Source organism: Homo sapiens, chromosome 19, assembly GCF_000001405.40.
Source record: "Homo sapiens chromosome 19, GRCh38.p14 Primary Assembly".
NCBI classification, from domain to species: Eukaryota; Metazoa; Chordata; class Mammalia; order Primates; family Hominidae; genus Homo; species Homo sapiens.
Window position 1 is genome coordinate 39925089 of NC_000019.10, and position 27189 is coordinate 39952277.

The 27189-nt window shown below is 46.1% G+C and overlaps 1 protein-coding gene and 1 pseudogene across 1 annotated transcript in view, besides 5 other annotated features; both read right to left on the reverse strand.

Annotated features, from left to right (window-relative positions):
• The window catches only part of FCGBP (Fc gamma binding protein), a gene marked incomplete in the record, with an annotated part of 71312 nt that extends 61766 nt beyond the window's left edge, over positions 1-9546 (reverse strand). Inside the window, 2 exon segments of the mRNA NM_003890.3 lie at positions 1971-3218; positions 9476-9546. Of these exon segments, the coding sequence (NP_003881.2) occupies positions 1971-3218; positions 9476-9530 (1303 nt within the window).
• Positions 2236-2737: an enhancer, noted in NCBI's record as "H3K4me1 hESC enhancer chr19:40433231-40433732 (GRCh37/hg19 assembly coordinates)". NCBI's record gives its function as "activates a minimal SCP1, AML or CMV promoter by ChIP-STARR-seq in naive H9 embryonic stem cells {active_cell/tissue: H9 hESC(naive)}" and the evidence as "EXISTENCE:reporter gene assay evidence [ECO:0000049][PMID:30033119]".
• Positions 16581-16660: an enhancer, noted in NCBI's record as "active region_14632". NCBI's record gives its function as "activates an Ori minimal core promoter by ATAC-STARR-seq in GM12878 lymphoblastoid cells {active_cell/tissue: GM12878}" and the evidence as "EXISTENCE:reporter gene assay evidence [ECO:0000049][PMID:35858748]".
• Positions 16761-16850: an enhancer, noted in NCBI's record as "active region_14633". NCBI's record gives its function as "activates an Ori minimal core promoter by ATAC-STARR-seq in GM12878 lymphoblastoid cells {active_cell/tissue: GM12878}" and the evidence as "EXISTENCE:reporter gene assay evidence [ECO:0000049][PMID:35858748]".
• PRR13P5 (proline rich 13 pseudogene 5) lies at positions 17568-18664 on the reverse strand (annotated as a pseudogene).
• Positions 18394-18894: an enhancer, noted in NCBI's record as "H3K4me1 hESC enhancer chr19:40449389-40449889 (GRCh37/hg19 assembly coordinates)". NCBI's record gives its function as "activates a minimal SCP1, AML or CMV promoter by ChIP-STARR-seq in primed H9 embryonic stem cells {active_cell/tissue: H9 hESC(primed)}" and the evidence as "EXISTENCE:reporter gene assay evidence [ECO:0000049][PMID:30033119]".
• Positions 21534-21828: a silencer, noted in NCBI's record as "tiled region #5808; K562 Repressive DNase matched - State 21:Repr". NCBI's record gives its function as "represses a minimal TATA promoter and a strong SV40 promoter by Sharpr-MPRA in K562 cells {active_cell/tissue: K562}" and the evidence as "EXISTENCE:reporter gene assay evidence [ECO:0000049][PMID:27701403]".

A 27189-nucleotide genomic window follows, 5' to 3' on the forward strand; every position in this document is an offset into this window, starting at 1 on the left:
AAGAAGAAAGAAGAAGAAGAAGAAGAAGAAGAAGAAGAAGAAGAAGAAGAGGGAAGGGGGAGGAGGAGGAAGAGGAGGAGGAGGAGGAGGGAAGAAGAAGGAAGAAGGAAGAAACCGCCTCAGGCCTCAGAGGGAGGCATCCTGGAGCCCACCTTGCCGGGGAAGCTTGAGCAATTCGCTCACAACTGCCCATTTTTGCCCATTTTTGCCCATTTTAAAGGTGGGGAAACCGAGGTCTGGAACCCCACAGGGAGAGAGTTGCTCAGGCCTCTCTGAGAGCCCCATGTTTTCTGATTCTCCAGTTTAACACAGGGCAGCCTAGAAGAAGGGAAGGCAGTAAATAAGAAAAGGCAGAAACGGTCATTAAAATGTTAATTTGTGTTTTTCTCTCCCCCTTTTCCCCTCTTCCCTACCTTCCCTCCAGGGTCAAAAAGAGCTAAGGGATTTTTTTAAGGACAGAAAATGGAAGACAGCCTTCAGCAGGATGAAAAGGACTATGGAGTCAGGCCGCCTAGGTAGGAATCCTGGCTCAACCAACTGGCTCTGAGACACTGGGCAAGTGGTTTTAAACTCCCTCTGCCTCAGTTTCCTCATTTGTAACATGGGGGTGATAATAATACCTCCTTCGTAGGGATCTTGGTGGGGGGTGTTAGGATTAAATAAGCTAAAACTCGAGAAAGCTTTAGAACTGAACCTACGTGTTAAGTGGAGTGTTACCCATTATAATTAATCACCCACCGCTCCCTCATTCTATTTCTCAAGCCCAAAGTGGCTCCTTGAAGTTGGGTGGCTTCCATGCCTTGGAGGGGAGGGGAGGGGCATTTTTGCCAGGTCCAGGAATGCCAGAGTCTTAGCGTGGCAGGGACTACATGGGAAGAAACAGCTTTCCTCCATCTGCCTCCCAGTCCTCAAAAGTTTTTGCAGCTGGGTGTGGTGGCTCAGGCCTGTAATTCCAGCCCTTTGAGAGGCTGAGGCAGGAGGATCGCTTGAGCCCAGGAATTTGAGACCAGCCTGGGCAACATGGAAAGACCCTATCTCTACAAAATATAAATTAAAAATTAGCTGGGTGTGGTGGTGCATGCCTATAGTCTCAGCTACTTGGGAGGCTGAGGGAGGATTGCTTTAGTCCAAGAGTTCGAGGCTACGGTGAGCTGTGATCACACCACCGCACTCCAGCCCGAGTGACAGAGTGACACCCTGTCTCTAAAACAAAGTTTTGAGGGAGAAACAGTTATCCCCATTTTACAGATGTGGAAACTGAAGCCCAGAGAGATGAAGTCACTTGTCCAAGATCACACAGCAGAGCTGGGATTTGAACCCTGGGACCCTGCACTACACTGACAGCGTCTCATGGGCTGAGCCTGAGGTCACACAAACTGCCAGGTCATATACATTAACTGTGTCAAAAACACGTGAAACACCTAGAAAGATTGCAAGATACTCCCCTCCCCAACGCGTAGTCATCTTATTATCATACATTTAGATCTCCTAAGTTTGGGTATCAACATTCCTACATGAGGTGTGGAGAGTGGCTTAGCAACTGGTGTGGCTATGTCAGTTGCTAAAATATCAAAATATTTCCAAACTGGTTGGTGAGAAGCTGCTGACCTGACTGTCCCCCACAACCCCAAAGATCCCTCCTTCTCAGCACCCTGGCTCTCCCCTAGGGCCCTTTCCAGAACAAACCAACAGACAGGGGCTGATGCCAGCATGATGGGGGCTTCAGGACCCTGTCACAGTGCTTTGGCTGCTGTCTCTTCTGACTGGTAGTGCCCCAGCTCTCCCTGGTTGCTAAATATTTAGAATATTGTTTCTGGGCGGATGGGAGGGGCTGAGAAGACTTGAGGAAGGATGTCGCGGAGAAGAGAAGTGAGGGGAGGACAATCAGGATCCCGAAAGCCACAGAGGAGTAGGTGGGTGGAAAAGCGGTCACCAGGTGGACAGGACCAGGGGACATTTCCATTACTTACTCCGGCCGCAATCAGCAGCTGTTGCGTAGCCTATAGCCTTGGCCAGCCCGAAGGTGAGCAGTCCCAAGTTGGTGGTGGCCTCGGCCGTGTGGATCATGTCAGCTGTGCCGAGCTCCACTTCAGCATACGAGAACTCACTGCCTGGCACAGCCTCCCAGGTGAGCTTGGCCCCCACTGCATGCCCATCTATGGTCAGCCCGCTGATAGCCTTCGTCTGTGCCACTACCAGGGCCACGCCCTCACAGCCTGGTACACTCTTGACCACATAGGCTGGGCAGTAGGCCGCCACATCTGGGATCAGGACCAGGTAGGGGTCATAAGTCACTTCATTCCTTATGGCACCTGTGCCAAACAACAGGACCTGGATGCCCACATTTGCAGACAGGTAGAGTGGCCAGGATGGCCGGACCTCAAACTCTACCACATCACCTGCCTGGAGCCCACGGGAGCCAGTGATACCCCCATGGTTGTAGGTCAGCTTTGTGGCCTGGCTGGCCACAACGAAGGCCAAATCATAGCGAGATTGGGAGGCCAGCGTGGGTACTACATAGTGGGTGCCCCAGGCAGACGTGGGTAGCAGCTGCTCAACCACATGGTTGCAGGTCGTATGTTTCTGCGCACAGCTGTGGCCAGAGAGGACAGCCACGGGGCTACTAGCTGTGACCTTTGACCCCGAGAGATCCACTGAGCTCTGTAGCTGGGCCACATTGTAGGGCTGTAGAGTCACTCTTAGGACATCGCCTGCTGGATAGAACTTGCCATTGAATGTCACTGACCCCTTCAGCGTGACACTGACCGAGGCACCTGCGGCACCGGCCACCACGGCAAACTCCTTGACATTCCTGGCTGAGGTGCCGGGGGGTGTGAGCACAAAATACTCGGTGCCTAGGGCCTGGATGGGCCGCAGCAGTGTCAGCTCCGCTGTGTCAGGCTTGGCATTTAGTGCCTGCACAGAGATGGCATAGTCAGAATGGATCACCACCGCATGCTGGAAGATCTTGCTGCCTATCATCTCAGCCTTGGCACTGATGTTGACCATGACCGACTCCCCGGGCCTCACTGTGACCTTCTTTGAGGTGTTGTCTGCCTGGCTGAGGATGGAGACTGAAGCGGGGCTCTCTGACAGACTGGAGATAAGGAGGCGGGGGTAGGCCTTGCTGTAGGCCAGCTGATAGTTCTGCAGGAAGGCTGTGAGGAATTCCTCTCTGCCAGTGTTCTTGAGGTCCACTGAAGCCTCCTGGGTCAATCCTGGTTGAGAAAATACAGTTGTGGGTCCACTTATCCAATCCTCCCCACTTTTGCTCTGCACCCAGAAACATGTTGAAGTATTAACTTGGGCTTTCCCCCACCACCCTTCTCTTTCCTTTCTTCTGATTCATGCAGCTTTCGTCTACAAGCCTTCCTGGCTTTTGTTTTTCAAAAATCTAAACACCTTAGACAGGGCCCTCAAACTCCAATGCTGATGGGGCCAGGCAAGAAATATAAATGTGTGAAACAGTCCCGGAGGGGCGACTGTGGAACTGAAGCACTCCTATACCATCTAAAGTGGGTTGTTGCTTATGCAAATCCATCAGTGTGATACATCTTATCAACAGAATAAAGGACAAAAACTATGTGATCACTTCAATTGATGCCAGAAAAGCATTTGATAAAATTTAACATCCTTTCGTGATAAAAACTCTCAAGAAAGTAGACACGGAAGGAACACACCCCAACATGATGAAATCCATGTACAACAGACCCACAGCTGGTATCATACTGAATGGGGAAAAACTGAAAGCCTTTGCTCTAAGATCTGGAACACAGCAAGGATGTCCACTTTCACCACTATTCTTCAACATATTATTGTTAGTCCTAGCTAAACCACTTAGACAATAGAAAAAAATAAAGGGCATCCAAACTGGAAAAAGGGCATTCAAATTATCTTTGTTTGCAGATGATATAATCTTATATTTAGAAAAACCTGAAGACAGCTGGGCTTGGTAGCTCACGCCTATAATCCCAGCACTTTAGGAGGCCGAGGTGGGTGGATCACCTGAGGTCAGGAGTTCAAGACCAGCCTGGCCAACATGGCGAAACCCAATCTCTACTAAAAAAAAACCAAACATTAGCTGGGTATAGTTGCACATGCCTGTAGTCCCAGCTACTCGGGAGGCTGGGGCAAGAGAATCTCTTGAACCCAGGAGGTGGAGGTTGCAGTGAGCCAAGATCACACCACCACACTCCAGCCTGGATGACAGAGCAAGACTCTGTCTCAAAAAAAAAAACAACTTTGGCTGGGTGCAGTGGCTCAAGCCTGTAATCCCACCACTTTGGGAGGCTGAGCTGCACAGATGAAGAGGTCAAGAGATTGAGACCATCCTGACCAACGTGGTAAAACCTGTCTCTATTAAAAATACAAAAAAATAATTAGCCTGGCATGGTGGCAGACACCTGTAATCCCAGCTACTCGGGAGGTTGAGGCAGGAGAATCGCTTGAACCTGGGAGGCAGAGATGGTAGTGAGCTGAGATGGCACCGAGCTGAGATGGCACCATTGCACTCCAGCCTGGGCAACGAGAGCAAAACTCCATCTCAAAAAACAAAAAACAAAAAACAAAACAAAAAAAACAGAAAACCTAAAGACTTCATCAAGAAGCTATTAGAACTGATAAACAAATTCACTAAACTTGCAGGATACAAAATCAACATACAAAAATCAGTAGCATTTCTATATGCTTACAGCAAACAATCTGAAAAAAAAAAAGGAAAGTAATCCCATTTACAATAGCCACAAATAAAATAAAACACCTAGGAATAAACGAAAGAAATGAAAGATCTCTACAATGAAAACTATAAAACAGTAATGAAAGAAATGGAGGAGGACACACACCAAAAAAAATGGAAAGATATTCCATGTTCATGGATTGGAAGACACAATATTGTTAAAATGTCCATACTAACCAAAGCAATCTACCGATTCAATGCAATCTCTATAAAAATACCAGTGACATTCTTCACAGAAATAGAAGACTAATCCCAAAATTTGTGTGGAAACACAAAATACCCAGAATAGCTAACGCCATCCTGAGCATAAAGAACAAAACTGGAGGAATCACATTACCTGACTTCACATTATACTACAAAACTATAATAACCAAAACAGTGTGGTACTGGCATAAAAACAAACACATGGACCAGTGGAACAGAACATAGAACCCAGAAACAAATCCACCCACCTACAGTGAATTCATTTTTGACAAAGATCCCAAGAACATACATTGCATTTATTGAAGATAAATGGTACTGGGAAAACTGGATATCCATATGCAAAGAGTGAAACTAGACCCCTATCTCTCACCACATACAAAAATCAAATCAGAATGGATTAAAGACTTAAATCTAAGACCTCAGACTACGAAACTACTACAAGAAGACATTTGGGAAACTCTCCAGTTCATTAGTCTGGGCAAAAATTTATTAAGTAATACATCAAAAGCACAGGCAACCAAAGAAAAATGGACAAATGGGATCACATCAACCTAAAAAGCTTCTGCTCAGCAAAGGAAACAATCCACAAAGTGAAGACACAACTGACAGAATAAGAGAAAATATATACAACCCATCTTAGCTAAAGCAATTAGACAAGAGAAAGAAATAAAGGCATCCAAACTGGAAAAAAAAAAAAAAGAAGTCAAATTATCCTTGTTTGCAGATGATATAATCTGATATTTAAAAAAAACCTAAAGACGCCATCAAAAAGCTATTAGAACTGATAAACAAATTCACTAAATTTGCAGGATACAAAATCAACATACAAAAATCAGTAGCATTTCTAGATGGTACTGACAAGGGATTAATAACCAGAATATAAAAGGAGCTCAAACAACTCAATAGGAAAAAAATCAAATAATCTGATTTGTGTGTGTGTGTGTGTGTGTGTGTGTGTGTATGTGTGTGTGTTTGAGATGGGGTCTTACTCTGTCACCCCAGGCCGGACTGCAGTGGCACGATCTCAGCTAACTGCAACCTCCGCCTCCTGGGTTCAAGTGATTCTCTTGCCTCAGCCTTCCAAGTAGCTGGGATTACAGGCATGCGCCACCATGCTCGGCTAATTTTTGTACTTTTAGTAGAGACAGGGTTTCCCCATGCTGGCCAGGTTGGTCTCGAACTCCTGACCTCAAGTGATCCGCCTGCCTCGGCCTCCCAAAGTGCTGGGATTAGAGACGTGAGCCACCACGCCCGGATTAATCTGATTTTAAAATGGGCAAAAGATCTGAATAGACATTTCTCAAAGAAGACATACACATGGCCAGCAGGTATATCAAAAAATGCTCAACATCACTAATCATCAGAGAAACACAAATTAAAACCACAGTGAGATATCATCTCACTCGAGTTAAAATGGCTTTTATCCTAATGAAAGGCAGTAATGAATGCTGCTGAGCATGTGGAGAAAAGGGAACCCTGTTACCCTGTTGGTGGGAATGTAAATCAGTACAATCACTATCGATAATAATATGAAGGTTTCTCAGAAAACTAAAACTAGAACTACTGTATGATCCAGCAATTCCTTTCCTTCCAAGTCAGGAAGTCAGTATATGTAAGAGACATCTGCTCTCCCATGTTTATTGCAGCACTATTCCTAATAGCCAAGATACGGAATCAACCTAAGTGTCCATCAACAGATGAGTGGATAAAGGAAATTTGGTACATACAAACAATGGAGAATTATCCACCATAAAAAAGAATGAGATCACCCGGCACAGTGGCTCACACCTATAATCCCAGCACTTTGGGAGGCCAAGGCAGGTGGATCACTTGAGGTCAGGAGTTCAAGACGAGCCTGGCCAACATGGTGAAACCCTGTCTCTACCAAAACTACAAAAATTAGCCAGGAATGGTGGCATGTACCTGTAATCCCAGCTACTCGGGAGGCTGAGGCACGAGAATCACTTGAACCTGGGAGGCGGAGGTTGCAGTGAGCCAAGATCGCGCCACTGTACTCCAGCCTGGGCAACAGAGTGAGACTCGGTCTCAAAAAAAAAAAAAAAAAAGGAATGAGATCCTGTCATTTGCAACAACATGGATGGAACTGGAGGACATGATGTTAAGTGAAATAAGCCAGTATAGAAAGACAAATTTCACATGTTCTCACTCATAGATGGGAATTTAAAATTTTTAACTGATGAACTCATAGAAATAGAGAGTAAAATGATGGTTACGATGATTACCACAGGCTGGAAAGTGTAGCGGGGACTGGGGGATAAGTAGATATGGTTAATGGGTACAAAAATACAGTTAAACAGTTAGATAAAATAGATAAAATCTAGTATTTGGTAGCAGAACAGGATGACTATTGTTGACGATAATTTATGGTATATTTTAAAATAACTGAGAGTGGAATTGGAATGTTCCTAACACAAAGAAATGACAAATGCTTGAAGTGAGGGATGCCCTAGTTACCCTGATTTTATCATTACACACTGTATGCCTGTATCAAAATATCACAGGTACCCCATAAATGCAAACCCATAAAAATTAAAAATTTTAAAAATATATAAACTAGTAAAAAAAAAAAAAGTGGATTGTTGGTACTAGCTTTCACCTGTTATAATGAAAGAATGTGAGCTTTTTTAAATTGTAAGACCTTCCTGTTTTTCTTTTTTTTTTTCTTCTGAGATGGAGTCTCGCTCTGTCACCCAGGCTGGAGTGCAGTGGCACGATCTCGGCTCACCACAACCTCTGCCTCTCAGGTTCGAGTGATTCTACCACCTCAGCCTCCCGAGTACTGGGACTACAGGTGTGCGCCACCAGGCACAGTTAACTTTTGTATTTTTTCTTTTTTTTCTTTTGAAATGGAGTCTCACTCTGTTACCCAGGCTGGAGTGCAGTGGCGCGATCCTGGGTCACTGCAACCTCTGCCTCCCGGTTTCCACGCCCAGCTAATTTCTGTATTTTTAGTAGAGATGGGGTTTCACCCTGTTGGCCAGGCTGGTCTCAAATTCCTGACCTCAGGTGATCCACCTGCCTCGGTCTCCCAAAGTGCTGGGATTACAGGCGTAAGCCACCACGCCTGGCCGTTCTTTCTGTTTTTAAAGAGAATGTGGCTATCTGAATTTTCATGTGAAATCTCCAACCCACAATTGTTTTAAGCACTTTGGGGCTCAAGGTGGATGTACTCTGCTGCCAGTGTATGATTTCCATCTTTTTACAAACTGGAGTGCAGTGGCTTAAACACAACACACTGCAGCCTCAACCTCCTGGGCTCAAGGGATCCTCCTGTCTCAGCTTCTGGTATAGCTGGGACCACAGGCACGCACTGTGTGCCTGGCTCATTTTTTAATTTTTTTCTAGAGGCAGGGTCTCACTTTGTTGCCCAAGCTGGTCTTGAACTCCTGGGCTCAAGTGATCCTCCTGCATCAGCCTCCCGAAGTGCTGGGATTACAGACGTGACCAACTGTACCCAGCTGGTTTTTGTCTTAATAGGACTTGTGGGGGCCAGGCGCGGTGGCTCTTGCCTGTAATCCCAGCACTTTGGGAAGCCAACGCGGGTGGATCACTTGAGGTCGGGAGTTCATGAGCAGACTGACCAACGTGGTGAAATTCCATCTCTACTAAAAATGCAAAATTAGCCGGACATGGTGGCATGGGGCGCCTGTAATCCCAGCTACTAGGGAGGCTGAGGCAGGAGAATCGCTTGAACCCAGGAGGTGGAGGTTGCAATTAGCTGAGATCACACCATTGCACTCCAGTCTAGGCAACAAGAGTGAAACTCCATCTCAAATAATAATAATAATAATAATAATAATAATAATAATAATGGGACTTGGGGGTTTGTGAAAAGGGGATAAAGAGAAGAAGGGGATTATGGAAGGGTGAATGAATTGTCTCCTAGAAATAGATGGCAGTGGGGGCTTCTGACCACCCCCAACTAGGAAGAGCGTCCCTGGGGCTGAGGAGAGAGAGGTCTAAGGAATCTTGAAGAGAGTGTGGGGGCTATGGAATGACCACCTTCCATATAAAGGGGGCTTTGAAGGATATCCCAGGGGGCCAGGGGATCAGGAACAATGGACATTTCAAAAGTAACCTAGATGGATGCTGACTGGTGACGAGAGGGTCCTCATATCCCATCCTCCCCCCAGTACTTTGGCTTTATCCAAAATTTTAGTTCTGGACACATCCCTGGGAGAAGTGGGGACAACACCCTCCAAGAATGACTTTCGTGAAATTTTCCATCAACTTAGCAGAATGAGGCTCAGAGTCAAAACCTTAGTTGAGTTGCAGAAAACCAAGAAAGTTCTTGCACACTTGAGTTTGGGGACTAAGGTTTTTGCCTGTGCTCCCATCCAGAAAAGGGTGAGAATTGGTGAATTCTACCACATCCCCCTGCAGAGCCTAAGGGCCTCTCTCCTGTCTCAGCTAGCCTGGGGTGACATGTGGAGGAGGCACACATGGAAGGCGTGGACCCACGCAGAGTTCCCCAGATTGGAACAAGGACATGGAGAGGGTCTTGGTCTGACTTACCCCACAGGAGGGTTGCTCCAGCCCAGAGTATCCACCAGCTCCATAGGGCACCCATGGCTGCAGTAGGAAAAGAGAAAGGATCATAGAAGGCTGATCCACCGCCTCTGCTGGAGACTGTCCTGGGCAGAAGGGCCCACTCTCATGACAAGGGCCACCTGGGACCATGAAGGCTGAGGTGGGGAAAGAAGTCGGGCAGATTGGGCCAGGGGGTATGGATCCAAGGACCAGTGTGTGTGTATAGGGGAGGCTGGCTGTCCAGCGGGTCTGGAGGTGGGTTGGGGAGGGCAGAAGCCAGGGACGGGGTGGAGAGTTGGCTGTCTTGTGGGTCTAGGGGTAGGATGAGGAGGCCTACAGTCAGGGGCAAGAGTAGGGGACCTGCTGTCCCACTTCCAAAGGGGACCCCAGCCCTTCTCACCTGCAGGTCCCTGGAGCTGCAGGGCCAGCCCTGTGGCAGGGCTATATAGTGGAGTTTCTGGGCCACACCCTGGGCCACGTGCCAGGCAGATGATGCCAACTTCCTGGAGGAGGCTGCCATCCTCATGGCCAGATGAAATGGGAAACTGTGAAGGCCTGGGAAGGAGGGACAGTGATTCTGGATGCCTGGGTTCCAAGAAGGGAGTGAGGACAGCTGGTGGCCATTCCCTGGAAGCCTTCTGGAGAGTTTGGTCCTGGAAGGGTGGGGTCCCTGAGGGAGACAGCTGGGGAGCAGGCAGATGAGCACCTGGGTCCCTGGGTGGAGGTGGGGTAGGGTGGGGGTGTGGGCAGTGAGGGTGGGAGGTGGCATGTGGTCATATTTGCTGGCTTAGTGGCTAGGTTCCTTCCTTTGGCTCCTGCCAGGAACAACAGTGAGGGACCCATATCCGGGTCCTGGTTCCTTCTCAGTCCCCACAGGCTGGGGAGTCCCTAGCCACCCACATCCTGCTTCCAGACACCACTAGGGGCAGGTGTCTGGGATGGGCAGGAGTCTGAGGCTATGGAGTGGGACACAAGACCTCCACCGCAGCCCAGTGGGGCGTCTGCGGTTTCTCATCTGCAAAATGGGAACACCAAAACCAGCCTCTCTGGGCATCTTTACGTCCCAGAGATGTAAAAAAATTCTCAAGGACTGTAGAGCTGGGGGGCAGCCTCCTCTGGTGTGGGCGCAGGCCAGGCTGCAGGTGGGCACTGGGACTGAGGCGGTGTGTGAAGAAGGGACAATGGCCTCTGTTTCCTGGTTCCACACAGACACCCAGATTCTACTTCTGATCCCAGACACCTGCTCCTCAGTGGTGCTGGAAACAGGATATAGGTGGCCAGGGACTCCCCAGCCTGTGAGGACTGAGGAAGAGCCAGGACCTGTTGGTTTTGGAGTTTTTTTGTGTGTAGGGAGGGTTTGCTCTTAGCAGGGGCTAGCTGAACAGGTTTAGGGGACTCTGTGCCTCTCCATCACCCCAGAATTTGCCTGAGATGGGAGGTGGAGGTCTAGGTTGCACACAAGGAGCAGAAGAATGAGCTGAAAGTTGGGCTTTCTCAGCTGGAGTCAGCTCCTCTGAGGGGCTGGCCTGACCCATGCCCTGCCTGCCTTCTCCCTGACTCAGGATCTCATTGTTTGCTGGGGGAGTCTCCCCTGGGACCAGCAGCTGCAAAGCCTGGGTGCTCTCTTGGACCAACACCCTAGCAGCTGCTGCCCCTGGGGCTCCTCCTCTCTTATCACAGCAGCCTGGGCCTCTGGGAGGCCAGAGCGGGTGGGGGGCTTCTCTCTCCCTGGAGCTCCAACCAATCCCCACGCCCACCCAAGAAACGTTCCTGGAGGGAAAGATAAAGGCTAAGAGTTGACTGGGACATAAAGTCAACCAGGAGAATGAGGTGAGTAAATAGGAGACTGGCTAAAAGCCAGAGATAACAAGAAACAAGCAGGGGCAGGGGACCCACAGGAAGTGGAAGCTTTGGGAAAAGGATGCCTGGGTCCCTGAGGGGTCTAAAAGTTGGTGGAAGGGGCTGCTGGGTCCCTGAGACAGAGAAGGACTCGGAGGAGGAGACGTCGGGATTCCTAGGAGGAAACAGCAATTGCAAACCAAGATGTGAAAATTCTCTGTCTGAGGCCAGGCGCAGTGGCTCAGCTTATAATTCCAGCATTTTGGGAGGCTGAGGCAGGAGGATTGCTTAAGGCCATGAGTTTGAGACCAGCCTGGTTCAAGACCAACATAGTGAGACCCTGTATCTACAAAAAAATACAAAAATTAGCCAGGCACGGTGGTGCACGCTTGTAGTCCCAGCTACTTGGGAGGCTGAGGCAGGAGGATCACTTGAGGCCACAAGGTCAAGACCAGCCTGGGCAACATAGTGAGACCCTTTCTCTACAAAAAATATAAAAATAAACCGAGTGTGGTGGCATGCACCTGTAGTCTCCACCATTCAGGAGGCTAAGGTGGGAGGATTGCTTGATCCTAGGAGTCTGAGGCTGCAGCGAGCCGTGATCATGCCACTGCATTCTGGCCTGGGGAGAAAAAGAAAAAAGAAAATAAAATCCTCTGTGTGCCATATGCCTCTTGTAATTAGAGGCACTCAGAGACAAATGGGAGGTGAAGGGAAAGAATCAGGGTGAGTTTCATGGGTGTTTCTGGCCCTCAATTCTCTCTAAGCCTTGGGGTTTCCCCTGGTTGATCACAGAAAGAAGCTTCCTGCCTTCAAAATTCATCATCGCTCTCCACAGCCAGAGTCCCCAGAAATGGGGTGGTTGTGGTGGGAGATCTCACAAATTAATACTCTGTATGTGCCAATCCCCTTGGGTCTTCTTTCTCACTCCTTTTAAGGCCCAAGTGGTGTGTGTGTGGGTGTGTGTGTGGGTGTGTGTGTGTGTGTGTGTGTATGTGTGTGTGTACACCCCTGTGCTTTACCCTGTATTATATCAATTCTCAGGAAACCCTTTGGTGACCCGGGAAATAAACTCTGGGGACACTTCCTTATGGTCAGAGAAATCGCATCCATCCCTCCACTGGCAGCCTTGCTCTGAGCCCAAACAAGGGTATTTGTGTACCTGAGCCTTTCGGCCTCTTCCTGCTTATCTGCTTCCGTCTCCTTGCAGCATGGGCACTGGCTATACCATCCCAGACCCCTGGGCCCCTCTGACTAGTCTTGGCTTTATAGACTGGAGCACAGTGGAAGAGAATTTACTCTCTCCAGCTAAATTCAGGCTTGCGGGCAATTTCTAACTTAATTCCTTTACGCTCTGGATCCCACAATCCGACTTCCATAAGCACTGAACGTTTTGTTAAACTCTCCAATGACCCATTATTTGCCACTTGCCTCTAGTTCCTTCCCTCTAACATTTGACATTCACACTTCCTCTCTGCCTATAATAATTGAAATTCTATAGGAGATGTTCTCTGACCATAATGGAATCAGCTTGAAATGAATAACAGAAAAACAGGAAAATCTCCACTCACAAGGATATTGAGCAACTCACTTCTAAATAATCCATGGGCCAAAGAGGAAGTATCAAAAATACATAGAATTAAATGAAAATGAAAAGAAGATATTTCAAAATATGTGGGATATAGCTAAAGGGAAATTTATGGCATTAAATATTTACATTAGGAAAGAGGAAAGTTCTTAAACCAATATTCTAAGCTCTTCTTACACAATAAAGTAGTAAAAGACCAAAACAAACACAACGCAGAAGAAAGGAAATAATGAAGAGCAGAAATTAATAAAACTGAACATGAGAAAATCAATGAAACGAAAGAACTACTTCTTTGTTGTTGTTGTTGTTGCTAACAAGAGCAAGTCTTTGAATTTCCCAAATGTATTTGTGGATTTGTCTATTGTTGAATAGAGCATTCTATAAATATCAATTAGATCCTGTTGATTGATGCTGTTATTCAGTTCTTTGATATTCTCACATATTTTATCCTGGTAGTTCTATCAATTTGGTGAGACTGACGTTTTTAATTCTCCAACTATATTTGTGGACTTGTCTATTTCACCTTTCAGCTCTATCAGTTTTTGCTTCATGTACTTGAATCTCTGTTGTTTGGTACATATACCTTAGGATTGCAATGTCTTGGCAGAATGATCCTTTGTTTTTAGCAATGTTTTTCGCTCTGAAGGAAAGTATTTTCGTATTAATATAGTACTTCCTTCCTTTTAAAAATTTATATTTAAAATTATATATATATTTATTTATTTATTTATCTATTTATTTTTTAGACAGAGTCTCGCTCTGTTGCCCAAGCTGGAGTGCAAGGGCATGATCTCGGCTCACTGCAGCCTCTGCCTCCCAGGTTCACGCAATTCTCCTGCTTCAGCCTCCCAAGTAGCTGGGATTACAGGCACCTGTGACCACGCCTGGCTAATTTTTGTATTTTTGGTAGATACGGGGTTTCACCATGTTGACCAGGCTGGTCTTGAACTCCTGACCTCAAGTGATCTATCTGCCTTGGCCTCCCAAAGTGCTGGGATTACAGGGGTGAGCCACTGCACCCAGCCTAAAATTTATATTTATAATAACATAAATTAATAAAATTAATATATATTTCTATTCTTTTATTTTCAACCTACCTATGTTGTTATATTTGGAGTAAAGTTTTTTGGAGACAGTATCTAGTTGGATCATTTTTTAAATCCACTCTACCAATCTCTGGCCTTTTATTTCATGTAAGGAGATAGACTATTTACATTTAAAGTAGTTATTGATATGTTTGGACTTAAGATTAACATTTTAATATTCATTTTCCATTTGTTCCATTTCTCATTCTTATTTTTTCTTGCATTCCTGTGAGTTACATGAGCATTTTTTAGCATTCCATTTTGATTCATATTATTTTCGAATACATAATTTGTAGAATTTTCTTAGCACTTGCTCTAGTACTACAATATACATATGTAACTGATTATAATCCAACTTATGAATATTTTACCACTTTGATTGAAGTGTTGAAACTTTACATCCATATAGATCCTTTTACCCTCCCACTTATACATATGCGTGTGTGTGTATACACATATAACTATTTTAAGTATTGTCTCTTCCTATAGACATCAGATAATACTATAATTTTTGCTTCAACCAACTACGATTTTTAAAAACTCATGAGAAGGGTAATCTGCTATAGTTATCACTATTTTTGTCCATTCTGCTGTTCTTCCTTCCTTTCTAAAGTTCTGAGCCTTTTCCTGTAATCATTTGGACTTTGGAGAACTTCCTTTAATCATTCTCTAAAAATAATTCTGCTGACGGCAAAGTCTTGTAGTCTTCCTTCATCTAAAAGCTTTTTATTTCTTCTTCATACCCCGTAGATAGTTTTGCTGCATATAAGATTCTCGGCTGGGCACAGTGGCTCACGCCTGTAATCCCAGCACTTTGGGGTGCTGAGGCGGGCAGATCACAAGGTCAGGAGTTCCAGACCAGCCTGGCCAACATGGTGAAACCCTGTCTCTAATAAAAGTACAAAAATTAGCCGGGCATGGTGGCGGGCGCCTGTAGTCCCAGCTACTTGGGAGGCTGAGGCAGGAGAATCACTGGGAGGTGGAGGTTGCAGTGAGCCAAAAGCACACCACTGCATTCCAGCCTGGAGGACAGAGCGAGACTGTCTCAAAAAAAAAAAAAAAAAGATTCTCAGCAGATAGTTATTTTCTTTCAGCACTTGAAGAGTATTGCTCCAGGCTTTCTTCTCCATGGTTTTTGATAAGAAATTTTTTGTCATTTGATCAGTGTTCCCTATAGACAATTTATAATTCCTCTCTAGCTGCTTCCAAGATAGTTTCATTGTTTGCCTTTGTTTTCATAAGTTAGTTATACTGTGTTTTGGCATGGAATCCGTCAGATTTATTCTGTTTAGCTTCTTGCATCTGTAGGTTTATGTCTTTTGCCAAATTTGGGAAGGTTTGGTCATTATTCTTCAAATATTTTTCAGCCCCACTTTCTTTTCTCCTTCTGTTAATCTGATAATACAAATGTTAGCTATTTTATAATTGTCCTGCAGGTTCTCTGAGCCCTTGTTAGTCATTTTCTGTTTCTCTTTTTTAAAGTTGATTGTCTCTCTGTTTTTTGGATTGGGTAATTTTTATTGTTCTATCTTCAAGTTCACTTCTTATTTCCTTTGTCATAGTTGCTCTGCTCTTGAGCCTTTCCAGTGAGTTTTTATTTTAGTTATTGTATTTTTCAGTTTTATCATTTTCATTTGATTCTTTAAGAACATACTTTCCATTTCTTTGGTGAGATTTTCTTTTCTTTCCCATCTTTGCAAGGAATTTCTACTTGCTTGGTGAAACATTTTTATGATGGCTACTTTAGATCTTTGTCAGATAATTCTAAAATCTTTCATCTCAGTGTTAGATTGTTGATTGGCTTTTCTCATTCAAGTTGTGATTTTTCTGGTTGTTCATATTATGTATGATTTTTAAATTATATCCTGGACATTTCTGGTATTATGAGAGGAGACCCTGGATCCTATTTAACTCTTCCATTTTAGCAGTCACTGTTTTTAGGTTAGCATGCAGGTCCTGGCCTACTTTTGTGTGCTATGATTCCAATGACAATTTAGTTTTCAGAGCCCTTGCATTATTATTCCGGTCTATTTCATTTGCCTGGTGCTGGTTGAGCTCATACCCAATTCCTGTTAGTACCACCAATGGAGGTTAAAAGCATTTTCTTGGGGCCTGCTTGGTGCTGCTACGTTAGGAGTAGGAGACACTGGCACAAAAGGGTGGAGAGTACTTCCCTGGGCTGCGTGGTGCCAGCAGGGCTCTTCCTTCATCTCTGCCATCCACTAGGGTGGGGAAAGCACCTACCTGGGTGCTTTCTGCCGCTGGATAGGGGGCTGGGGAGATGCTGGATCTAGACCACGTCCTGTCGTTGGGTGGGAAATTGAGAGATGCTGGGCCACTGAGATGTTTCTCGAGTTCTAAGGCCCTTGTCAGTTTTCCTTCTTTTTATCTTTCAGAGTCCTCTTAAGAATGTCTGTTATGTTATTCCAGGGTTTTTAGCAGAGAGGAGCCAGGAAAAATAAATCTATGTCATCTTGACAGAGATGTTACCATCATCCTGGCTTGTTGTAGTCTCCTAAGATAGAAATCAAGTGAGATTACCAGACACAGTATTAAAGAGAAAAAAAAAAAAAAGTTTGTTTCCGTTTGTGCAGAAGGGAGGTCAGCACCGTGAAAGGAAAAGGGTAGGCTGCTCCCCACAGGGAGCAAGTCGATCTGTCTTGTAGGGGTCCAGATGCCATGATGTGCCTGTCATCATGTGTTAACAAGGGATTTCTTGGCGCCTGCACAATGGTTCAACATGGTTTTTCATACATTGCATGTAATATTGGCATTTTAAATCTCTACCTCTGAGCATGATTTTTAGCATTGAAATAAGGAAATTATCACTGTAAGTTGAAACCTAAGCTGTTCCTGTGGCTTCCTGGGGAAGTCCCTAAGCCCCTAAAGCAGGAACTTGTGGTTAATAGCTTCTTGGGCCTCTGATGCTGACTGGCTGGAGGTTAGGTATAGAACAGGAATTAAAAGAAATAAAGAATGTGTAAGCAAAACTTAGTTGTATGTAAGAAAACCCAATTCCCCCTGAGGAAGAGAAAGAGCTGGAGTCCTTTAAAATTAACTGCCTGTTTTTCTATGGCTAGTGAGCCTTATCTCTCCCTTTCCCAGGCATTGTGAAGACTCTGTTTCTCTAGCTGTGCAGCTGTAAGATCACTAGACAGATAATCTCAAGTCGTAAAACATGCTGTTCCTTGAAAAAAAAATGATATAATGCATGTCTCAATTGAATGACTGTCTTTGTTTCTCACTTCTGTGATATGCTTCCCCCTGCACAGATCTCCCCCAGCCCCACGAAATGCTTAAAAGGTAGCTTGACTCTTTGTTCAGGGCTCAGTCCTTTGGATGTTAATCTGACTGGGTCGGTGCACCTGAATAATTAAATAATTCCTCCTCAACCCCACGGTCTCTCTGATTCCTTAATTATCCTGCTGCAGACAAGCTACAGCTTGAGTAAGGGGCTTTTGTTCTTTTTCACTAAACCACCTCAAAATAGGAAGCCAGCCAGCTGTCTCACTCCCAGCCAAGAGATTTCATTCTCCTTATTCTTTTTTTTTTTTTTTTTTTTTTTAGACCAGGAGAAATAACTTTATTTGAATAGGACCCGAGACAGCATATTGGGCTAAGGAGGAGAGGTAAGGTTCCAAAACCGCAGTCAAAGCTCATCAACCAAATGGACTCTACTTCCCAGCAACCTTGCAGTTAGTGCAACCAACAAAAGGCCTGCTGGGGAATGTATTTGCCACTAAATCCCCCAAGTATGCCAACATTACAAAAAAGATAGAGGTTTTTCATCATAATTGAATTTCCACAAACCTCCCCAATCACAAGTATTATAAGTGGAAGTAAAAAATCACATTTTACAGATCTCAAACTTGTCTTCAACATTTAGTTCATCATCTTCAAAAAATAGCTCCCCTGCCTAATTCATTAGCTATATGATCTCTCCAAGCAGCAACAAGATGGCCAGGCCATGGCAATCCTCTTCCTATTTCCCCTAGCCACTCAGGGCTCAACAGCAGGGTGAGGCTCAGGTGGAGGTAGGGGGTGGGGAGCACAAGGGCTACATTCCCCCAGTACAACGTGGCATCTGAAGCTTGATGGGAGAGCAGAACTGGTGGGACTTGAGGGAAGGGTCCAGGGCCTGTATTCAGTCAGAATCACTGCTGGAAGAGGAGGAGGAAGAGGAGGAATGCTTGTCATGCTTGTGGTACTTGTGGTGCTTTTGGTGCTTGTGCATCTTTTTATGAGCTTTCTTCATTTTCTTCTGCATCTTCTTGTCCACTATCACTGCTGGTCCAACCATGCCAGGAGCCAAGGGATTCACAGGAGGGATTCCAGGGGCAGGCGGTGGGTATGGAGGAGGGTAGGGACCCAACGGTTGGCATCCTGGATACCCTGGCTGTGGCACAGGATGAGGGGGCCCACCTGGGGGGAAAGCTGGATTGCCATGGGGAGCTCCTGGGGGAGGAGGACAGGGGCCTGGGGGAAAGGGTGGATTAATAGGTGGTGGGTGGGCAGGATTGGAACCTCCAGGGCACCCAATATTGGGGGGATATGGATTTGGCCCTGGCTGCCCGGCATTGGGATTCCACATGTTTAGGTGTGTCCTCCAGCCTTTCCACCGCCGCCTGGGCTTGCTGCGTTCTCCTTCGCAGTCCTCATTCTCCTTATTCTTAAGGAGCAAAGGTCTCTTCTGGAACTACTTCCTGCTAAGCATGGACATAGTCTCTACATCTATTTCCAGGAGGAGTAGAAATTTCTTATGGCTTGCTGAAGGGGCTGATACGGCTCTGGGCTAGTGGTCTCTGAAACAGGCTGGAAGCCTGGCAAGACCATTTACTTGGCATGAAAGCATTACAGTCTGAAAGACGTGAATTTTACCAGCAGGTTAAACAAGCATGGTTTAAAAATTAAAAATTTAAAGATTAAAAACTTTAAATATTAAAAGAAGAAAGATAGCCAATAAGGGCTTAAGAAAGGGAGGAACCAAGTTACAAGCCTTACAAGGGTAAGGTTCATCTGACAGCATTGTACACTAAGTTGACTTCCTTTATCAAAAGAGTGTAACCAATTTCCTGATTGTAAATTGCCTGGGTGTTAACCTCTACTCGCCCAGTAGTATTTATCCAAGTGCAGCAGGAGGTATGGTGACTGTACAAACATCTTCCTGTTCAGCTAATAAGTAACCTAGAAGTCTTGCACAATGATTAACTTGACATGAAACTATTGTAGTCTGAAAGACACAAATTTTACCAGCAGGTTAAAGAAGCATGGTTTAAAGATTAAAAGAAGAAAGATAGCTAATAAGGGCTTAAGAAAGGAAGGAACCAAGTTATGGAGGGTAAGGCCCAAGTTATGGAGGGTAAGGCCTAGCAGTTGTCCAACACCACATTAGCAAGAGAATTGAGGGAGGTTTTTAGCCTTTCCAGGGCCTGCCTCACCTGGTCCACTATATGCCTAGGGCTATTGTGACTCCAGGTACCCTGCACCCAGACTAAAAGGAAGAGGTTACAGTGAGATAGAAGGTACAGTGGCTGGGCGCGGCGGCTCACGCCTGTAATCCCAGCACTTTGGGAGGCCGAGGCGGGTGGATCACAAGGTCAGGAGATCAAGACCATCCTGGCTAACACGGTGAAACCCCCATCTCTAAAATACAAAAAATTAGCCAGGCATGGTAGCATGCACCTGTAGTCCCAGCTACTTAGGAGGCTGAGGCAGGAGAATCCCTTGAACCCAGGAGGTGGAGGTTGCAGTGAGCCGAGATCGTGCCACTGCCCTCCAACCTGGACAACAGAGTGAGACTCCGTTTAAAAAAAAAAAAAAGGAAGAGGGTACAGTGGGAGCATGATTCATGCCAGGCCCTCACCATGTCTTGAGTATGACCTGTGCACCTAATAGGGAAATGATCCCAAACTATCTTACCCAGCTGGGGTAATATTTTATTATTATATTGTCTGCTAAATTTTCCCCAAGTTGATAATGTATTTTAAAGCCTGATTTAAGTCTTCATCTATTAGAAAGTTTGTCTTGAGAAAGGACTGCTCCAATAGGTCATTTTAAAAGGGCTGAGCTTTAAGTTCCCCTTTGGGGTGGATCTTATTCTTAGTAAGGCAATAGGGAGGCACTTAATCCATGATTTCTGGGCTTCTTGGCATAGTGTAGCCAAGGTTCTTTTTAAGGGTTTGATTCATTCTCTCAACTTTCCCAGAAGATTGAGGATGCCAGGCAGAGTGAAGTTTGTATTGGATGCTAAGACTGCTAGACAGCCCTTTGGTGACCTAGGTGATAAAAGACAGCCTGTTGTCACTTTGTAGGGAGGCTGGAAGCCCAAACCTAGGAATTCCTTGTTTAAGCAGCCATTTACTTTTTGTTTGTCTGGTTTGGTTTGGTTTTTAATTTTTTTTTTGACAGAGTCTCGTTCTTGTTGCCCAGGTTGGAATGCAGTGGCACGATCTCAGTTCACTGCAACCTCCACCTCCAGGGTTTAGGTAATTCTCCTGCCTCAGCCTTCTTAGTAGCTGGGATTACAGGTGCCCTGTGCCACCATGCCCAGCTAATTTTTGTATTTTTTTTTTTTGAGACGGAGTCTCGTTCTGTCACCCAGGCTGGAGTGCAGTGGTGCGATCTCGGCTCCCTGCAAGCTCCGCCTCCCGGGTTCACGCCATTCTCCTGCCTCAGCCTCCCGAGTAGTTGGGACTACAGGCGCCTGCCACCATGCCCGGCTAATTTTTTGTATTTTTAGTAGAGATGGGGTTTCACCGTGTTAACCAGGATGGTCTCGATCTCCTGATTGTGATCTGCCCGTCTCAGCCTCCCAAAGTGCAGGGATTACAGGTGTGAGCCACCGCACCTGGCCTTAATTTTTGTATTTTTAGTAGATGGGGTTTCACTATGTTGGTCAGGCTGGTCTCAAACTCCTGGCCTCAGGTGATCCGCCCACCTCAGCCTCCCAAACTGCTGGGATTACAGGCGTGAGCCACTGCACCCGGCCTTTAAGCAGTCATTTACAAACTTCAATTGCTTTTTCTGTTTGTGTGGGGAAAGCTTCCACCCAGCCTGCGAAAGTGTCTATAAAAATCAGAATATATTTGAATTCCCCTTTAGGGGTATCTGTGTAATTCGCCAATCTTCTCCAGGATAGGTCTTCTTATGCTGCACTGGGGCAGAGCCAGTGGATGGGCTCAGGAATTATTTCTAAGACAAATTTCACATGCTTGAGTTACAGAGTCCACTGTGGCTTTTTTATTTTTATTTTTTGAGACTGAGTCTCACTCTGTCACCCAGGCTGGAGTGCAGTGGCATGATCTTTGCTCACCGCGGCCTCTGCCTCTCAGGTTCAAGCAATGCTCCTGCTTCAGCCTCCTGAGTAGCTGGGATTACAGGCATGCGCCACCACACCCAGCTAATTTTTATATTTTTAGTAGAGACGGGATTTCACTAAGTTGGCCAGGCTGGTCTCGAACTCCTGACCTCAGGTAATCCACCCACCTCAGCCTCCCAAACTGCTGGGCTTACAGGTGTGAGCCACTGCACCTGGCCCACTGTGGCTTTTTCTTTCTTTCTTTTTTTTTTTTTTGACAAGGTCTCGCTTTGTCACCCAGGCTGGAGTGCAATTGTGCAATCTTGACTCACTGCTGCCTCAAACTCCTGGGCTCGAGCAATCCTCCCACCTCAGCTTCCCAAGTAGTTAGTACCACAGATGCATTCCACCATGCCCAGATAATTTTTAAAAATGCTTTTGTAGAGACACAGTCTTATCGTGTTGCCCAGGCTGGTCCTGATCTCCTGGGCTCAAGCAATCCTCCTGCCTCAGCCTCCTCAAATGCTGGGATTACTGGTGTGAACCACCATGCCTGTTAGGCTGTAGCTTTTAAAGCCTTGCTCACTAGGAGATTTTGGATTAAATTCCATAGTGAGTCTCTCTCATAATGAGTTTCCTCATGAAGTCTTTTGATGACTTTCCATTGGTCAGCTTCTGGTAGGAAAAGGCATTGTTGCTGATCTTCTAGCCACCCTGACCATTTAAATTATACCCTCCTTCATCTGCTCAGTTTTTTTTTTTTTGATGGAGTCTCGCTCTGTTGCCCAGGCTGGAGTGCAATGGTGCCATCTCAGCTCATGGCAATCTCTCCCTCCTGGGTTCAAGCGATTCTCCTGCCTCAGCCTCCCAAGTAGCTGGGACTACAGGCATGCACCACCACGCCCAGCTAATTTTTGTGTATTTTAGTAGAGACAGGGTTTCACCATGTTGGCCAGGCTGGTCTCGAACTCCTGACCTTAGGTGATCCTCCCACCTTGGCCTCCCAAGGTGCTGGGATTACAGGCATGAGCCATCACTCCTGGCCAACCACTGCCAACTTCTTTTTTTTTTTTTTTTTTTTTGAGATGGAGTCTCGCTCTGTCCCCTAGGCTGGAGTGCTGTGGTGCGGTTTCAGCTCACTCTAAGCTCCACCTCCCGGGTTCACGCCATTCTCCTGCCTCAGCCTCCCAAGTAGCTGGGACTACAGGCGCCTGCCACCATGCCCAGCTAATTTTTTGTGTTTTCAGTAGAGACGGGGTTTCACCATGTTAGCCAGGATGGTCTTGATCTCTTGACCTCGTGATCCGCCTGCCTCGGCCTCCCAAAGTGCTGGGATTACAGGAATGAGCTAACGCGCCCGGCCCAGCTGCCCGTTTGGCAGCTCTATCAGCCTGGTTGTTTCCTTGGCTGATTAAAGAATTGTCTTTTTGATGCCCTTTATAGGACATAACAGCTATTTGGGCAGGGAGCTTAATATGGTTTGGCTCTGTGTCCCCACCCAAATCTCATCTCGAATTGTAATCCCCTCATGTCAAGGGAAGTACTTGGTGGGAGGTGACTGGATCACGGGGGCAGTTTCCCCAATGCTGTTTTCACAATAGTACGTGAGTTCTCATGAGATCTGATAGCTTAAAAGTGTGTGGCTTCCTTCACTCACTCTCCTGCTGCCATGCAAGATGTGCCTTGCTTCCCCTTCACCTTCCGCCATGATTGTAAGTTTCCTGAAGCCTCCCAGCCATGCAGAACTGTGAGTCAATTAAACTTTCTTTGTTTATAAATTACCCAGTCTCAGGTATGTGTTTATAGCAGTGTAAGAACAGACTAACATAGAGATGAACTGCCTCAAGGAGGAATAAAATCGCTTCATTGGGTTTTGTCGGGGTGCTCCTGGCAGTTAGCATTCTCCTCTTTCCAGACAGCTGCATGAGTATGGAGCATTAGGAATCCATACTTAGAATCAGTATATATATTAAGTCTCTTCCCTTCTTCAAGCTGAAGAGCCCTTAACTAAGGCTTGGAGCTCTGCTTCCTGAGCTGAAGTGCTTAGGGGAAGTTATTTTGCCTCTCTGGTCCAGCGTAGGCTGACAATAGCATGTTTTGCCTTCCGGGCTCCATTTTATTTGTTTGTTTGTTTGTTTTTTTAGATGGAGTCTCGCTCTGTCACCCAGGCTGGAGTGCAATGGCGTGATCTTGGCTCACTGCAACCTCCGCCTCCCAGGTTCAAGCGATTCTCCTGTCTCAGCCTCCTGAGTAGCTGGGATGACAGGCGCATCACGAGCCCAGGACTTCGAGACCAGCCTGGGCAACATGGTGAAACCTGTCTCTGCTAAAATACAAAAAATTAGCTGGGTGTGGTGGCGTGCCACCATGCCTGGCCTGCAGGCTCTATTTTCTACAAAACAACCCCCATCTGTAAACCATTCTTCATCTGGATTCTCTCAAGGGGTCTCCCGTAAATCTATCCAACTAGAATAGATCTGCTCCAAAGTTTCCACATAGGTGTGTTCCAGTGTCCCCAAGGTGGGCAAGGGAAGGAGGGTGGCAGCATTCAAGGACTCATATATCTTTAAGGTCAAGTCTGGGGTGTCTAACAGTGGGGCTTGATTTTGAGTTAACCTTCCCCGAGTTAGCCAGTGGCTCCCTTTGATTTCCAACACATTCTGGACCTGGTAAGGAGTATAAACTTCAAGGGATTGGCCTAGCATGAGTTTGGAGATATCCCTGACCAGGAGGCTGGTGGCTGCCACTGCCCTAAGACAGCCAGGCCACACCTGGGCTACTGGGTCCAGTTGATTTAAAAAATAAGTCACTGGCCTTTGGACAGGCCCTAGCTTCTGAATTAGGACTTCCAGGGCTTTGCCCAGAGAGGTGGAGGCTATCTGGAAACCCCGGGGGTAGCACTGTCCAAGTACAGTGGGGAGCTTCCTGAGTCTCTGGATCCTTCCATTCAAAGGCAAAAATGTAGGTGGAGTCAGGATGCAGCATATATTAAAGAAAACATCCTTTAGATCCAGTACAGTGTAAAACTGTGTGCACCCAGGGATTTGAGAGTGGAGTGTGTATGAATTAGGGACTGAAGGATGTGTGGGAACAACTGAGTCATTCACTACTCTAAAGTGTGGAAGAAACTGGTATTCTACATTTGGTTTCTTCACAGGCAGGACTGGAGTATTACAAGGGGACTGCAGGGCTGAATTAGTCTGTTCTGTATCAATGTTTCCAGGAGGGGCCATATCCCTTGTAGGGCTTCTGGCCTCAAATGGTATTTTGGCTTGCGTGGGTAGGGTAGGCCTGGCTTAAGCTTTATTTTAATATTCTCCTCATTGATGACCTGTCCTGAAATGTTGGTATCCCATACAGACTTTTCCACTCAAATCAATATCTTTTCTAGGACTGGGGGTAGCTTCTGATCTTGGGGAACCAAAAGGGCCAGTAAATGGATTCCTTTCTCAGGAGGCACTGAGACTTGTATGGCATTCCCCTGGAGGGAAACTGAGGCTCCCAACTTAGATAATAAGTCATGAACCATTAAAGGAAGGGGACACTCAGGGACATATAGGAAGGAATGAGTGATAGCCTTAGATCCAATTTTACAAGTCAAAGGAAAGGTAAACTGTCTTACCTTGGGTTGTCCATCTGTTCCCGTCACTGTACAACTGGCGCTGAACAGAGATCCATCAGGATGGGTCAGGACAGAGTAGGGGGCTCTGGTATCCATAAGGAATTCAGTTTCCTACCTGCCATATTGAGGGTGACCCAAGGCTCCACAGTGGTGATGGTGATGGAACTCTTCAGGACTGGAGGCAGATAAGCATTTGAGAACACCTCATTCAGAGGGGGTAGCCTTTTTATTTGAGAGGCCAGCAACAAGAGGAGTGGGCTGGGGAGGTCTACTCCATCCTGGCTTCCCAGAAAAGAATGGACAGTCCTTTCTCCAGTGCCTCTTCTTACAGTAAGCACACTGGTTGCACCCCATTTCCATGGACATTGGGTGGGGTTTAATCCCCACCCCCCCGCATTCAGGTTTCTCTGTTACCTAAGGTCACCTCAAGGTGGGCCTATGATTATAGCAGCCAAAATGTGTGTCTTCCTTTTTATTCTCTCATTTTTCTACACCTTCTCTGCCTGGTCCCAGTTGTTAAAAATGTTGAAGACCTCTGCTACCAACGTTGCTTGAAGGGTCTAAGGGTCAGCTTTCAGCTTTTGAAGGTTTTCCCAAATGTCTGGCACAGCGTGGGTTATAAAATGCATGGCCAGAAGTGTTAGGCCTTCATTGGTCCTTGGGTCTATGTTACTATACTTTCTAAAAGCCTCAGAGAGCCTATTAAGGTACCCAGCTGGATTTTCATCCACTTCCTGAGCAATTATTTTACTTTATTATACTTTACTGGTTTTGTCTGACACCCTCTGATATGCAATTAAGGAAGTGATTGATCCTTAACCAGTCCCTGTCATCCGTATAAACCCATTGCGGGTTCTGCTCTGGGACTGCCTCACCAGATACCCAGTAAATGACATGGCCAGGATTATATCTGGCCATCTCCTCTGCATATTTCTTACCCTTTCCAAGATTCGAGTTTTTTCACCAGGAGTACAACAACGAGTTAGGACTACAAGAACATCTTGTCAAGTCAAAGGAAAGGTTAGACTAAACTTAATAAATTCATCACTAAACCTATCTGGATTGTTCAAGAACCGGCCAAACCAATCCTTGCCTTGATTTATGTCTGACATTGGTAAGGGTCCATGTACCTGAGTTGCCCCTCTAGTTCCATCCGTTACCTCCCAGGGGGAAAGCAGCCCTGGTATGGTGGGGAAGTGAAGGAGGGTGCTGACTTGGAGCCCAGTTGGAGCCACACTGGGGACAGCACTGAGGGTTGTTGAGGAGTAGAAGGGGAAAGCCTTCCTGACCCAGCATGGTATGGAGGAGGCTCCAGACAGAAGGAGAAAGGATCCACAGTAGCAGAGAGGCCTGCTTCCCACCCTGCCCTTAGAAAGGTAGTGAGAGAATTGAGCCCTAGGGGTTAAAATCTGAGACAGGACTTGGCTCATCTCTCAGCTGTTGCTTGAGAGGTACCATATAAACCTGGCAGGAGTCCTAGAGTTTGAGATCCAGATATAATTTCCTGAAGGCCTGCATGTATGGAATCTCAAGCTATTTATTAGAATTTTTTACAGTATATATCCAATTGGAAAATGATGTTGTAACTGAAGGACCCCATTCTCAGGTCATTTCTCTTGGTACCCCAGGGGATACTGAGGCCAAGCAACATCACAGAGAAACACGAGCTTCTTTTTCTTTGTAATATCTCATTTAAACTGATCCCAATTACAGAGGATGCATCCAAGGGGGGGAATCTTTTGGGACGTCTGTAGTGTTTCCCATGGTAGAGCTGGTGTCCTGTAATCAAGAGGTCTGGTGAGGGATGCAGCCTCTGACTCTGACAGTCTTCACAATTGCAGCACACATCCTGGTCTGACTCATCCCAGACCTTCAAATCCCTGGCAAGAACTAAGCAAGCCAAAGAGGACAGAGGGAGGAGAGCAGAACGAGGGGGCTTGAGAGCCTTTAGCTCTTGGATTTGCCAGCTTCAACCCACAAAGTCTAGCAAGTAGTAGATTTTACATCAGCTCCAAGTAGAACTTACTCTACACCCACATTTATTTACATGGACTCTAACAAGAAACGAGATGATGTACTAGACAGAGGAAAAATTTCATCTGGCCTAATGAGTAAGGCTTCCTTCCAAGAATCCTGGAGGGTGGCTTCACCCATGCAACAAGGACCAGAAACAAGAACGCATTTCCATTCAGACAACTGACAAAACAGATTATAAACGTCCAGGCTCCACAAAGAAGAATACGGTCAGGGAAAATACTGAGTGGTTTC